The sequence below is a fragment of the Homo sapiens genome, chromosome 10 (genome assembly GCF_000001405.40).
Source record: "Homo sapiens chromosome 10, GRCh38.p14 Primary Assembly".
In the NCBI taxonomy this organism is placed as follows: domain Eukaryota; kingdom Metazoa; phylum Chordata; class Mammalia; order Primates; family Hominidae; genus Homo; species Homo sapiens.
Window position 1 is genome coordinate 60,970,400 of NC_000010.11, and position 15,773 is coordinate 60,986,172.

The following is a 15,773-nucleotide window of genomic DNA, read 5'->3' on the forward strand; positions in this document are numbered from 1 at the left end:
GAATATTAATAATAACATGCATTTTTCCTTTTTAGTTCCTTAGATCAAATATTTACTGATCCATATAATTCAGATCGGTATTGAATATTAATTCTGTATTTCATAGATCTTGGTAATTGTATTAAGTTCAATGCTTCACATTTACCTGAGGAACTAATAAATTTTTGATAAAAATAGTTCACTATGAAACTTTAGAATCATTTTGGACAGTAGCATAATTATTTTCGCATTTATAGTAAGCACAATAGAAACGTTACCAAACAACATAAGACTCAAATACTTTTTAACAGTTCCGTGGTCAGAAAAGAGCTTACATAGCTTTTTTTTTCTGCTTACTTCACATTTATATTTTTGTCACAATACAAATAGGGCTTTTACAGTGCAAGATTAATGCTATGGTTTTCTATGTTCATTCTGTATCATCTAAACTGCAGTTGGACCAAATAACAAAAAATAATCAACTGAATGCTAAACAACTCCTTGTAAAAATATTCATGGAGAGTCAAACTCAGTATCAGAAAAAATGTCCCAGAATATATGCATAACTCACCATTTTTATTTCGGTAAAACTTCAGAGAACTTTTGTGACGATTCAGTGAAAATCATACATATAAAGTTTTGCCACAGATTAGCTCAGGGTAGCTAGTTTTTATGGGACACTCTTACCATCATCATTATCATTATTGATGTAATTAATAATAATAACATGAGCACCTGAATTTAAGTAAATTATCCATCTGATACATGAGGTCTATTTTTTCACTTTGTATTTGTAGAAATTATTTATAAAATTTTCTACTGGTTCCAAAATAGCTGAAAAAGAGCCTATATAGCCAAGATAATCCTAAGCGAAAAGAACAAAGCTGGAGGCATCACGCTACCTGACTTCAAACCATACTACAAGGCTACAGTAACCAAAACAGCATGGTACTGGTACCAAAACAGATATATAGACCAATGGAACAGAACAGAGGCCTCAGAAATAATGCCACACATCTACAACCATCTGATCTTTGACAAACCTGACAAAAACAAGCAATGGGGAAAGGATTCCCTATTAAAAAAATGCTGTTGGGAAAACTGGCTAGCCATATGCAGAAAACTGAAACTGGACCCATTCCTTACACCTTATACAAAAATTACCTCAAGATGGATTAAAGACTTAAACATAAGACCTAAAACCATACAAACCCTAGAAGAAAACCTTGACAATACCATTCAGAACACAGGCATGGGCAAAGACTTCATGACTAAAACACCAAAAGCAATGGCAACAAAAGCCAAATTGACAAAAGGGATCTAACTAAACTAAAGAGCTTCTGCACAGCAAAAGAAACTATCAACAGAGTGAGCAGGCAACCTACAGAATAGGAGAAAAATTTTGCAATCTATCCATCTGACAAACTGCTAATATCCAGAATCTACAAAGAACTTAAACAAATTTACAAGAATAAAACAACCCCATCAAAAACTGGGAAAAGGATATGAACAGACACTTCTCAAAAGAAGACATTTATGAAGCCAATAAACATGAAAAAAAGCTCATCAACACTGGTCATTAGAGAAATGCAAATCAAAACCATAATGAGATACCATCTCACACGAGTTAGAATGGCAATCATTAAAAAGCCAGGAAACAACAGATGCTGGAGAGGATGTGGAGAAATAGGAATGCTTTTACATTGTTGGTGGGAGTGTAAATTAGTTCAACCATTGTGGAAGACAGTGTGGCGATTCCTCAAGGATCTAAAACCAGAAATACCATTTGACCCAGCAATCCCATTATTGAGTTTATACCCAAATGATTATAAACCATTCTACTATAGACACAAGCACATGTATGTTTATTGTGGCACTATTCACAATAGCAAAGACTTGGAACCAACCCAAATGCCCATCATGATAGACTGGATAAAGAAAATGTGGCACATATACACCATGGAATACTATGCAGCCATAAAAAGGATGAGTTCCTGTCTTTTGCAGGGACATGGATGAAGCTGGAAACCATCATTCTCAGCAAACTAACACAGGAACAGAAAACCAAACATCGCATGTTCTCACTCATAAGTAGGAGATGAACAATGAGAACACAGGGACACAGGAAGGGGAACATCACACACTGGGGCCTGTCGGGGCATGGGGGGCTAGAAGAGGGATAGCATTAGGAGAAATACCTAATGTAGATGACAGGTTGATGGGTGCAGCAAACCACCATGGCACGTGTATGCCTATGTAACAAACCTGTATGTTCTGCACATGTATCCCAGAACTTAAAGTATAATAAAAAAAGAAAAAAAGAGAGAAAACTAATAACCTAATTGTTGTGCTTCTAAGTATGATCATCAGCTTAGCACACAATACCAGTAGTGGTGGATTAAATGGCAAGCTCAAGCTTAATCTAACTACTGCTAAATCTTCCCCAGACAGCCTTGTCAAATGCAATTTGCTCTATGGCAACCCTGCTTGGAAGGTAGCCTCACTTGGAGGCAAAATACCCACTGATGTTAACAAAACTCCCCTTTTAAATAGAAACAAGTGCAGTGTCGAAAGCAAGAATGATTTTAGTTTGAAAAAATGGGGTTCATGAATCCTTAAACCGTGACTATAGAAGTAAATATTTCTAATGCCGGGGCAACAAAGGCAAAAGCCAAGGATTGATTGCATATCATTATATAGTATGTCTGTTAATTTTTTTTTATGATTTTCTCTAGATTTAAGGATTCAATATGGACTGCCTCAAATATAAAGGTAAGCAATTATTAAGAAAATTACTTCTGAGAAAACAAGCAGCGTCTTTCCTCTATCAAAAGGTTCTCATCTGTTAAACACTCACATATCTCAGGGCAGATAAGATTTTAGTGGTTGCAGAAAATGAGATGTTACAAGCTAAGATTATTACAAAATCACAGAGCTAGGAGATCATCAGGGGGTCATTTAGTTTATCTTTCTGTCTACATTCAAAACAGCATCCAAGAGAGAAAACTGTCCATCGTCTTCTTTAAAATTTTTAGCATAAACTGTATTTGAGCCTTCTTAACAGCCTTCTTTTTTGTTGTTGTTTTTAATTAGCACTTCATTTCTGAAGGAATTCTGAAAAAAGTAATTTAGGGATTACATCATAGAAACATCAGAACTAAATGAGGAGGGCAAAGCTTGCTGAGTTTCATATTCAAAAGAAACAACACCAACAACTGAGATAATGCCATCAGTAACACAGAAGGCCCATGAAGCAATACTAGACTAGGAGAAACCTGGTGGCCTGGGATAATGGGAAAAGAACATAGATTCAAACTGAGCATTAAAAGGATGAAAAATCAAGAATAAGCAAAATAATTAAGTATTTATTACATTACTTGCAGAAGAGAACATATGGGCCATTTGGGGGCTGACTTGAGTTATATGTTAGGAAGAATTTCTTCAAAGTGAGGAGGGACACTAAACACTGAAATGAGCTCCCGATGTAGGTGATACAATTTTATCTTTGACGATGATCTTTTCTCAAAGTAAAGGTTCTAATGTTTGAAGTAGTTTAGGCCAAATAGTTTACCTGAAGATGGAAGAATGACCTTATTAAACTAAATCAAAATGACTGAATAAATGCCATTTGGTGTCTGTTATTCTTTAGGATAAAAAATAGTCATCAGAATTTTCTATCTCCATAACATGAAATATAATACTCCTAATATCTAAAGTGTGTGGTGCAAATCTAAAATATTTTACCTGTGCATCACTAAGTCTATAATCAGTTAAGAGTGTTGTCACCCCTCTTTCCAGCAGTTTCAAATACATATATTTAAAACCATTTTCAAATTAGTTGCAGGTAAATAATATAAATGTATACTTGGAAACAAAACAATATTTCAATTGACAAAACGTAATAATGGAAACTGGGTTCATGACTAATTACATACTCTGACTAAATCAAGAGATATAAATAGACATGAAAGACAACTATCAAACTGCTTGATAAAATAACTATAGTTTCTCTTTGTTTTTCAAATTTCAAGATAAGGAGAATACAATGAATACTTAAGTTCACTATGAACAAAATGCCTTTGTGTTTGTCATTCATTTTAAAATCAGACTCCAAAAAATATACATAGCTAAATGATTAGACAAGGTTTTTCTACACATCCATCGAGATTGGGGGGTCAGTACAGAACACCCATTTCTTGGGCATGGGATTTGAGTTTAGACTTGTTTAGAGGAAGTAACCAATATGATCAGTGTTTATTCTCTAGCAGCCAAAGAAATCTCATCTGTTTCTCCTAGTCAGGGCATGTTGCTAGCAGTTGATTCTAGACAGAGACACAAGTTTAGTTGAAAGGACGTCTGTCAGAACTGAGTTTTAATGTCACCTCTAATTACTTACTGGTTGCAGGAACCTGCAGAAGAGACTTTATTTCTCTGAGGATAGTGGTAAACTGACTGTAATTTCTTACAAACATTAGTTCTCTTTTCTGTGGGGTAGAGAAGGCATCGTGATGGCATGTATGGGGATGACTGTATTTTTTATAAGCAAATGTGAATAAGAAATGACTCATCTCTTGTTCCAGAAATGGAACTTCTACCTCTGTATGTGTGGCTGAGAGCTGTATGATCTTAAAATGACCTCATTGATAACAACCACATTAATTAAAATGCTTCCTTATAGCAGCATGCCAATATACTAATTTACAATAAAAATATGTCCATCAAGCTAATGAACTATATTGACTGATTGCTGTATTTTTCTCTAAAGGTATAGATATAGATATAAATCCAGGTATATGGGAAGGAGAATCATAATCAATGAACTGGTTACCAAGTTAGTCTGGGTTCAGAATCAGGGGAATTCGTCAGAATGTGTAAATGGCTGGTGTTTTTAGGCCATGACAACCTAATGCATTTTTCTCTCACCAGGGACACATTTGCTACATGGTCCAGAGACTTGTGTTCCTGGCCCAGAATCTCCTTGTCCTATCAATTGTTGGAAAGACACTGCCTGCATTTGCCCTTTTGCCTCTCTCTGTTCTGTACTTGCACTATCAAATAAAAACAATTTCTAATGGATAGGCATGTTTACTCATAAGAGTTTTTAAGTGATGTGTAAACTAAATGCTGAAATTTTAAGCTAAAATGCTACTTATTCGCTTGCATGGAAATACTAGGTAATAACTGACTAAGTGCTGTGCTGACTTTATGTGGAAGCAAGATGGAGTTTCAGTAACATTCTCCACGTGCTGTTCTGAAAAATCATGAATACCTGATTATACATAAATTCTCTTTGAAAGGGAATACAGTGTTTTTACTTAGCAGGAACAAAATGGTTTTTCAGTTTTTCCATATAAGCATCTCTCTTCGAAATGTTTCATTTTGGCAAAAGCTAACAGAATAATATATACAAAGATGACCAATGAAAACAGAAACACTGTAATAATGGGTTCTGAGATTACAAAACTGAGAACCTGGGAATCAAGCCCAGTTCAACATTTACAATAATGGGATGCTCACTTGCACCTCATGATCTATAAGGGGATGGTGGAAAATGAGGAAGTGGAAGGGAGGAGTCTTATCTGGTTCTCTGCCCAGTCAGTTCATTGTTGCACTAGAAAGTGATATAAATTCACAGTTCTCTTGTAAGGCTAGGTAAGGACAAGAAATTCTCAGGGGAAAATGATATATCCAATTTAGAAGCTGCAATATGGGTCAAATAAATATAAATGGGAATAATAAATGCCATCGAAAAAGTCTTGGACTAGGAAAAGCCCAGGGGTACTAGATATTGCAACGGTGGCACATAAGGAAAGCAGTAACAGCATTTCATTAGGATATTTTATTACATGGAAGGATTTTTTAAAGGAGAAAATTTATGTACTTCATATATTTAATTTGTACTCGAATATTTGAAATGCTCCTTTTGACTATATGTATATATATTATATATATATTCTTTTCTATTTTTATCACAGAGAGTAAGATCGCTGAAATCTCCATATTTATATTCATATAGTAAAAGCCTTCATTATATAAAAATAATCTCCAATGCCCACTCACAGGTCAAGTGTATCTAACTCCGAGTTAAGAAACTGTATACTGAAGTACAGCCCCGTCTTGTTCCTTTTATAGCCAGTCTTTATGCAAGAAGTCTGAAACAAATATTTCAGTGACATTCCTCTGTAGTAATGCCCCTTGTTTGTTTTAAAGATTCAGTTTTTAAAACTTCTATGCCCAATTAAGTAGACATTGTCCAACAGACCCGATAGGAAATCACACATTTAAAAATATTACCTCATAATATGTTGTCTTATTGGTAGATCTAATGTAATGGGTTTTATATTTCACTATATACAAAATTTTTAATAATAAAAATATTTTCTTTAAATTCACATCAGAGCACTTTCTGGATTTGTAAGTACTTTTTGGTTTCAAAAATACATGTTAAATTTGAGAGAGAATTTCTGGATTCAGAAAGAGTTTAATATTTAACACACAAAATGTGTTTTAAATCATCTGCGCCTTTGACAGCTCAGCTAACAAGCCAATCTTTAGACTTTATCAGAAACTTTTGCATGTGGAATTAGGGCAGGGACTCCTTGCAATAAATTTTTTAAAATCTTAGCTTCATTGGCTAAATTTAAGAGTCTTGAGATCTGTAAATGAAGGAGAATTATATATTATAAATTGTCATGGAAAGAAGGCACGTTTCTAATTAAACAAATTCTGACTTAGAATAAAATGACTGAAATTTTTGGTGCTTTTTCCTCTCTAAATTGTAGCATTAGAGTAGTAGATTGATATTAGAAGTGTATTAGCTGAGTCAGTGCTTAGGGAGCATTTTGAGATCCTTGGCCTTTAAGTACCATACACTTTCAAAGAAGCAATTTTACTTATAGCTCAATATAATATAATGCAATATGGAGAAATAATGCCAATGACAGCTTCATGGGGTGTTGCCCTATTTATGAAACCTTAACATGTCACTTATGTATGGCTGCTTATGCTCCTCCATACAAGCAGCTAAGACAACAATTTTACAGATGCAAAAATTAATAAAGAAAACAAAAGGAAGAAATGAAGGCAGAAAGTGAAAGAAGAAAGAGACCAAAAAAGATGTCTCATGATCACAAGCTATTCCACAGGCAGAGGCAAATGATAAGATTTGTTTACTTTTTTCTCACCAAATGTAATTATAAATCACTTGGTTCTTTTTTTACTGTTAATATTGTAAATTCTGTAAATCTCAATACATCTTTTCTGTCCCAATCCCCAGATGCCATGTGGTCATTTTATAGAAGGACCATTTCTCACCCACATGAACCAAGGTGGTGAAAAAGGGATGGTTGATTTAATACCCTAACTCAGAATTTATGTAGATTTAAAAATCTCTGACTTAATGTTGCATTAACTACTGGTGGCTGCTTTACTGCCTTTAAAACATGCATATATAATTGGATACTGTAATGCTTTGTGGGTAAAATAAATACCAACTCACACTAAAATAAATATTCTGCATGATGAAGTTCATGTAGACATAAATTAATCATTTACCCGTTAACTGATATGCACAGGAAAGAAATAGATCACTTATTAAAGGTTGCCTCATCTATAAAATGGGAAAATAAAATGCCGATATATTTTACAGTGCTGCTGTGAGGAAAAATGTATAAAATTATTGCTAAGCAGTTTATAAACCATAAAATGCAGTATGAACATTAAATTAATAATATTTGTACTAATTCAGATTCAACACCCTCTGCATTAAATATATATTTTTGCCTATTGAAGCATACACAAAACTGAGCTGAGGCTTTTTATTTAATTTTTAATGGCGTCTTCAGAATTCTGCAAAGCATCACAGAAGTTATTGGCCATGTTAAAACAACTTTTTAGTGGCTTATTCCTACCGTTTCTGAGACAAAGTTCCTGGCTGTTCACATCTCCAACCCCATATTTAAAGTCTTCTCCCAAAGGGCTTTATGTCTCCACTTGCATAGACATAGTAGTTACAAAGGGAACATGGGTTTGCATTTCTCAATCAAGTGGAAGTTATTAACATGATTTGGTCTTTGTTTTATTCTACATTATAGACTGAGATAAAGAATTAAGGCTAAGTTGGGAGAGAGAGTGGGTATGTTGGGTCTCTGCGTATTGTATCAAAACGATCTGCAGTGTAAACCCGTGCTGGGACAGTAGCATGGCTGTGAGTCAGCAGGGTCTCAAGGCTATCAAGCTGCTCAAAATGTTGCTGGTTCTAGAGATAAATCAAGCTTTTGTTTCTCAGCTCGCATCCAGAAATGTCATTCGAGGGCACAAGAGAGAGCTAAGCAACATAGAACATAGTTCCTTTCTTCTTCTACTTCTTCTTTTTCTTTTTTTAATAGAGCATTGTTATTTTGAAGAACTACTTATACAAAACCTGTAATCCACTCAGCACATTTTTAACATTGTCAATGTCCCTTTGATTCTCAATGACAAAACATATCAGACATTCCTCTACTCACTTCCTTTTATAGAGGCCATTAATATAGAAATACCTCCTCTTCTTCTATGATATGATAAATGGCTGGCTGGAGATGTCTGAAACACTGCCAAATCTCCCCCTATGTATCATGTGTCACCAGCAATAATAAACAGTGACTAATTTTTGGTCATAAATTATATTTATGGCTTCCTTGTCATCAGTAGGTAGGTATTTTCTCGAACCAGGTTCAAGGCTCTAATATTTATGCTAGGAACATGTATGCTAGGAAAAGTGTGCCTAGGTTCAAAGGAAACTAATCCTCTTTTGTTTTTTTATTTAATTGCTTGTGGAGCTTGTTATTTTCATCTGTATCTACCTTTTTTTGCCTAAGAATTTACCCAGTGTTTTGATCATGATTCTAATTTATCCCAGTAAATTTACCATTTTGGTGATAACAGTGTCTTGCCCAATAGGAAAAATAATAAGGAAAGGAATATGGCTAAAATGCAAACTTACCTAGTTAAAGTTTATCAATGGTCAAAAAGAAAATACAATGAAACCATGGCCTCCATCTCGTAAGTCTAGCTGTGGGTAAGGGGATCAAAATTTTCCTAAACAAACTATAATAAAGGCAGAACACCAGAATATACAATCACTATATTGCAGAATGGCAAATTATGGCTCTGAGGGAAAAGAAATGAGGTGAATAAGGGTGCAATTCAACTTCAATTCAATTTAACCAATACCAGGCACTGGAGTACATGGTTGGGATACACTAGTGAAAGTCAACAACAATCATTGCCTGCCTGCAGCTTATGTTTTAGATGAGGGAGAAAGACTGTAACAACGAGTGAATTACATCATTTATCAGAAGTTGGCAAGTATCAAAGAGAGAAATAAATCAGAAAAGGGAACTAGGAAGTGTGGGAAGAGATTACATTTTTAGAGGTAGTTAGTGAAGGTCTTATTGAGAAGGTGAGATTTGAACAAAAGACTTCATGGAAGTGAGAGAGCAGGTCGTGGATGTGTGACTGAAGAAAAGTGTCCCAGACAGACTAAACAGCAAGTGAAAAGGTCATAAGGCAGAAACACACTATATGTTCTGGCAGGGTGGCTGGAATATAGTAGAATGGGAGAGGGAGGAACCGGAAGGAAGTGAGGTCAGGCAGGTCACTGCTGGCTGACTCTGAGTGAAACAGGGAGCCAATGGAGGTTCTGAGTCAAGGAGCAAAATTATATGATTTATACTTTATTGAAAAAAGACTATAGGAGGCAAGGGTGGAAGCAAAGTGATCAGTTAAATTCATTAAAATTAATAGTTCAACTCTCCGCTTTGCATTAGCTTAATGAATATGAGCAAGACATTAATGATAGGTGATAGTTTAAAATTAAATGCAAACATATTAGAGTTGTAACTACACAAAGCTAAAACTGGCTGGAAGAGAGAATTCAATACAAAAATCAATAAATGTCCGCTGGACCAATTGGTAAGTTGAACACATTTTTGACTAAGGTTATGAATATACGATAAAAAAATGATTAAACTTTGGGAACTTCAAGCATTGAATGCTAAGGAATAGATTAAAAATGTCCCTCCTTAACATTGTCTGGGTTGTGGAATTAAACAATTGTCTATTATGACATTGAGATGCTCTTCTCAGGTACCTTTCAGTCCTTTGCTTATTGAGAGTTTTAAGTTGGGGAAACATGAGCTAAGCAGAAAGCATACCACCAAGAAAAATGAAGGAACCCAGAGTTTGGATTAATTGTAAATGTTTTATTTTCAAACTTAGAACATACGAATGATGGGAACACACATAAAAAGTGGGGTCTTCTCTGGGGAATAAAGAAAAAGGAAAAACCTAAACATTGATGAAAGGTGAATTTAGAATTTAGCCTTCTACTCAATCTTTCTGGCAGTAGAAATGATTAGGTTATGAAACAGAGCTCTTTCCCATCTCTCCTGAGCTGTTTAAGTTTAGAACAAATTGGGACTGAAAAAGTGTCAAATTTCATAGTAGGAATGCCCATTCAAAGAGCCACTTCCCTCTCTGAAGTAGGTTACTACATTCACCTGGGGAAATTTGTAATGGTTTATAATTAGGTGGCTAATTAAAAAGTGGATTATCAACTATATTAAAATATGCTAGAAAGATGTGTACATTATTCATTCTTTAATTTTGGAAATCTGCCATTTCCTTAAAAATATCCTTACTGGGAAATTCTATGTTTGATATGTAAGTTTTCTTTTTTCTTCAGAAATGAATTTTTTTGAAATGAGTCTAAGATTTTTGTTTATTGAGGTAACAAATGCCATTTGAAGTTTCTCTGTCAGTAAAAAGTACTTAACATCATAGTTATCATTCTTTACAATGAGAAGAGAAGGCTATAATTAGAACTCCAAGGCAATGCGAGGTCCCCAGAATTACTTTAGGGTCAAAATAATAAAGATGATGAAAATAATAACTGTTTTCATTTACTCACTTCTCATATATGCCAAATATTTTGTGTCTCAATTCTCTCAAGAGCCCTACAAGGTAAATTTATGCCTGTTAAACAGATGAAGAAACTGAGTGCAGAGAAATTAGGTAAATTATCCAAGGTCACACAGCTTGAAGGTTGTAAAGCTGAAATGCAAACTCACGTCTGACCTCAAAACTCTTGCATTAACCAAGATTTTTTCCCCCTTTAAAATGGTTTAGCATCAAGTCAAAACTATTTTGATGCATTCAACTGGTTTTGAAATTGATAATATTCATGTATCACATAACCAATTAATCAAGATCTCATATTAATCAGACCATATTTCTGAGCCATTTGTCCAAATATTAGCTTATTTTATAAAGTAAAACATGACAATCAGGAGACTCCTGATGCATTACTAACAGCAAAAGTTAAAAAATTAACAGTCACTTGGTATTATAAGTTACTTTTTTTTTTTAACACGGAGTTTCGCTTTTGTTGCCCAAGCTGGGGTGCAATGGTGCGACCTCGGCTCACTGCAACCTCTGCCTCCTGGGTTCAAGTGATTCTCCTGCTTCAGCCTCCCAAGTAGCTGGGATTACAGGTGTGCACCACCATGCCTGGCTAATTTTTTGTATTTGTAGTTGAAATGGGTTTGCACCATGTTAGCCAGGCTGGTCTCAAACTCCTGACCTCAGGTGATCCACTGGCCTCGGCCTCCCAAAGGGCTGGGATTACAGGCATGAGCCACTGTGGCTGGCCTGTAAGTTACTTTTTATTTGTCTTTTTCTATTTCTTCCAATTTCTAAGAAGATTAAATGACTACTTTCTGAGAAATTAAATGGCGGCCCATGAACTTTGCTATAATCATATCTATGTGCCTTCTAGACTAGTCAAGTATTAAGTGGGTCACTCTACTCCTAAAGGCACCTATATATTGGCCACTTCAAGTAGGTAACTTAGCAGATAGGCCTGACTAACTGTACTGGGATGGGCTTGCTGAACTGTTGACAGTACTCAGTACGGATACCATTTAGGTGATGTGGAGTTCCTTCTCAAATGACAACAGTAACAACATAATTATACTAAGATTTTTGAGGGTGTATTGTGTATCAGGCATTGTGCTCATTGCATATATTACTTCACATTACTCCAGGGTTTCTCAACCTTGATACCATTGATTTTGTTGGCCAGATGACTCTGTTGTTGGGGGCCATCCTATGCATCTAGGGATATTAGCAAGCATCCTTGGCCTCCCTAGATACCAGTAGCACACTCAACCCCTCCAATCGTTATAGCCAAAACAATCTCCAGTCATTACCAAATGCCTCCTGATGGGCAAAATTTCCTCCTATTGGGAACCTCTGTTTTACTTCCTTTATGACTCTAAGAGGCTGATACTGTTAGACTAATATTACTGATGAGGAAATTGTGACTCCCAGAGACTTATGTAAAATGCCTTTCTCACACATAGTAAGTTACAGGGCTAGAATGCATGTAGACTCTCACTCTTGAACACAATGACATTGAGGTTGAAATTCACATGTGAATTTCATGTGCGTTTCATTTGCCCTCTTTCCTCTTCCGCTCCCTTCTTATGGTGGGCATGGAGCAGTGGGAGGGAAAGGCGGTGCACATGACATAAGGCACAGAACTTTTATTGTTCCATGGTCTTTTAATCGACAGATTAATTCCATTTTAACTGGAATTCTGGAAACTAATGAAAAAAAATTACAAGTGCTAGATGGTCTATTCTCAGTGTTCTTGAATCTGTCTGATTTAATTCTAACCAATTAGCATGCCATTATGGAGGAATATTATGTTGGGAATCAATATTAAGCTAAATACTAATATTTTATTCAGTATTAAAAATTTATACAAATGGTAATACAAGTGCTTTATCCCTACTTTCTCTAAATGAGAAGAAATGCTTCCTTAGGGCTATTCCAGTGAAAATGATATCTTCTTAGGAGACTATTGGTATTACACTTTACATAGATCATTGCTTAAATGAATAAATAACAATTAACTGAATGAAATTTGCTTATTATAAGACATATGATTTTTCAGGGCATCAAAAATTGTTTTTCTTCTTATAGTTATAGTATAATCCCATGTTAAGATGAGAACAAAAGCACATTATTGTCCAATATTGTTCTATGTAAAAGAATAAAATAAGTGTCATGCTTATCCTGATTTTAGGATATCATTTCTTTCTTTCTTTTTTCCTCTTGGATACTTTACTCTTTATTGATTCAGATATAATACTAGGCTGGAATTTTTGAATCTAAATGTATTCAGATTTTGCATTTTACATCTTTGCAAAGAGGAATACACCTAGATGCACTCTAATACACCTAAACACTGAAATAGGTGAGCATGTAATAACCCCCTAAAGATAGTTTAGTATGGCATGATTTCAAAACTAGATTTCAAACCTGCTTTCCAAATTGTGCCCCTGGGTACCTTCCCCAATGTCTGGCCTTGCCTTGCTACACAGCATGGACCCTGCAGAGCTTCCCGGCCCCGCCCTCCTTCTGGCCTGTCCCTCTACTTCTTCCATCTCCTAATTTCAGTATCTTTTTCAAGCTTCCCAGGTAGGATAGCAATGAAAGATTTCCATAGTTTGGATCTAATGAAGACGTTTACAATTTTTATCACTTACGTACTTTAATTCCCAACTTCTTGGTCAAATATTTGACAACTACCTGAAAACTATACCACTTAAAATCTCTCTAACTTTCTGAATTGTTGTACTCTGTTCCTCAGTATTAAAATTAGAAAAGTTTTGCTCCATATTTTTGCTCCAATTGGGTAGGCAAGATCAACCAGTTAATATGCACGTACCTTGAAAAGGGTGCTTGTAATTCTAAAGGCATATTAGAAGTTAAAAACTGACATGCAAAATCAAAGCAAAAAAATCATTGAATAAATTAAGTTAACGGAAACATTAGAGATTGGAAGTCTGTTCAGCATAGTAATCACCATTACAAATAGGAAAATTTAAACTAAAAAAATAACATTTAATGGATTGACTTTTCTAAAATATTGAAAGGATTTTATTAATAAGTGTTTTATGCATATGACTATTCTGAATGTTCCTTTAAAAATGAAAGACTACAGCCTTAATGAGAGATATTATTACATGAACATATTTGAATCTGGCTTATGAAACGTAGGGCTTGAGAATTTGAAATGTGTGCATAAAATGCAAATAGATTTAATTAACTGAAAACCCATAAGACAGAACTTCTTCAAATAAGCAATTACTTTGGGGACTAATAGTGTAAATAGGATCCTGGTTCATTAGCACAAATACCCATATGAGAGAAGGATCAGCAAATTTTATTCTTTAAGTTATTTATGCACACATGGTAATATCTCATTAATTTGGGACTTCAATAAATTTAAAATCTTTCGATAATTTGTTCATGAGCTGGGTGGACATTTACTTTTGCTTTGTAAATACTTTATTTATAGGTGGATAATATATGGTGTTTTAAACATTTATTTTCAGTCTTATGTACACATTTTAGACACAGAATAAACAATTTTCAAGGAACCTCAGGCACTTTACAAGTTCCTACATACATCCAATCTATATGCTAATAACAAAATGTTCATATGATTTATTATAACAGGTCTCCTTAAGGACTTCTACTTTATTATGATTTGTTGAAGTTACTATATGTAGTTAAAGATAATAAAAGCCACATTTGTTTAAGAGTTATCTATAATTCAGCTTTCCCACAAATTCAGATATGCCCACCATCTTAATTCTTTGGAATAAATGAAATTTTACAATATTTGCAGCTACACACAGAGAGTTTTCCTTTTAAATATGCATTAGAACATATAAACATATGAAGAAAAATAAAATACAATGAAGAGTGAAAATAACAAATAATTTTATGGGTGGACAAAGGAGAGTAAACTGTCCATTTCAAATAATTCTACGTTTTTTAGGCACAATACTCTGGGGAAAAAACTCAATAATGTGGACCTTTTTTCAAAAGCTGATTTTACTCACTTGGGATGACTCTAGTTCTAATAAGATTTTCTAATTAAAGACATTCAGTGCCCAGGCCAAAAAGGGCGGATGCTCCAAGCTAAGGCATCTGGGAAAAAGAGAAATGCCACGCACAGCAATCTGGTCATTTCTAAATCTTCCTTGTATATGGCCATGACTTTTCAGAGTCCACATGTCAATTTCCTGTACAAAATGCTACGCACTAAAGAATTTTAACTGTGTATAAAGTGGATAGAAGAGTTATGTTATTTTAGTAATCAAAACTCATATGTAGGTCCAAATGACTCAAATTCTAAACCAGATAAAATATATTCAAGTAGAATTTATAAAACCCATAATTGAACTAAAAAACGAAATATTTCTATTTTTTGTGAAACATAATGAAGACAATCTAGATATTATTCATAAGTCATGCCATCTTTACACAAGATGCTTTTCCATTTCTTTGTTAAATATTGTAAGAAAGGGGAAAGCCAATTCTGTTACCTAAATTAGTAGTTACTTACCATATGAAGGGGGAAAATAAACTTCAATTCCATTTTCATAACTTAGTCAAGAATGCTTGATGAAGAGGCCTCTTTCATGTGCTTCTTGATTATTATAAAACCTAGGAAAGAGATATATACAAGCATGGAATGTTTCACTATCAAGAAGAAAACCACTCAAACAATATTAGTTTCTCATGTCAGTGATTATTTCTCATGAGAATGAGAAGTATGCCAGCCAACTACATGCCATTTACAAGTCTCCTAGCTGCTTACAAAAGTTAGAGCAAAGAAGGCTGAAATGACTACTGCCTTTGGAGACAGAATATCTGGGGTCAAATCGCACTCA

At 34.6% G+C, this 15,773-nt stretch overlaps 1 protein-coding gene and 1 long non-coding RNA gene across 21 annotated transcripts in view; one reads left to right on the plus strand and one right to left on the minus strand.

Annotated features, from left to right (window-relative positions):
- Positions 1 to 15,773, minus strand: part of RHOBTB1 (Rho related BTB domain containing 1) — a 141,108-nt gene that overhangs the window by 109,540 nt on the left and 15,795 nt on the right. For all 20 annotated transcript variants that reach the window (XM_047426086.1, XM_047426099.1, XM_047426092.1 and 17 more), the window contains exon 2: positions 15,446 to 15,546. The gene's annotated coding sequence lies outside the window, so the exon portion shown is untranslated. The remainder of the gene's footprint in view (positions 1 to 15,445; positions 15,547 to 15,773) is intronic.
- LOC124902433 (uncharacterized) lies at positions 2,711 to 5,055 on the plus strand. Its single transcript, XR_007062153.1, has 2 exons — positions 2,711 to 2,751; positions 4,906 to 5,055. It is a non-coding gene; the product is annotated as an uncharacterized LOC124902433 (long non-coding RNA).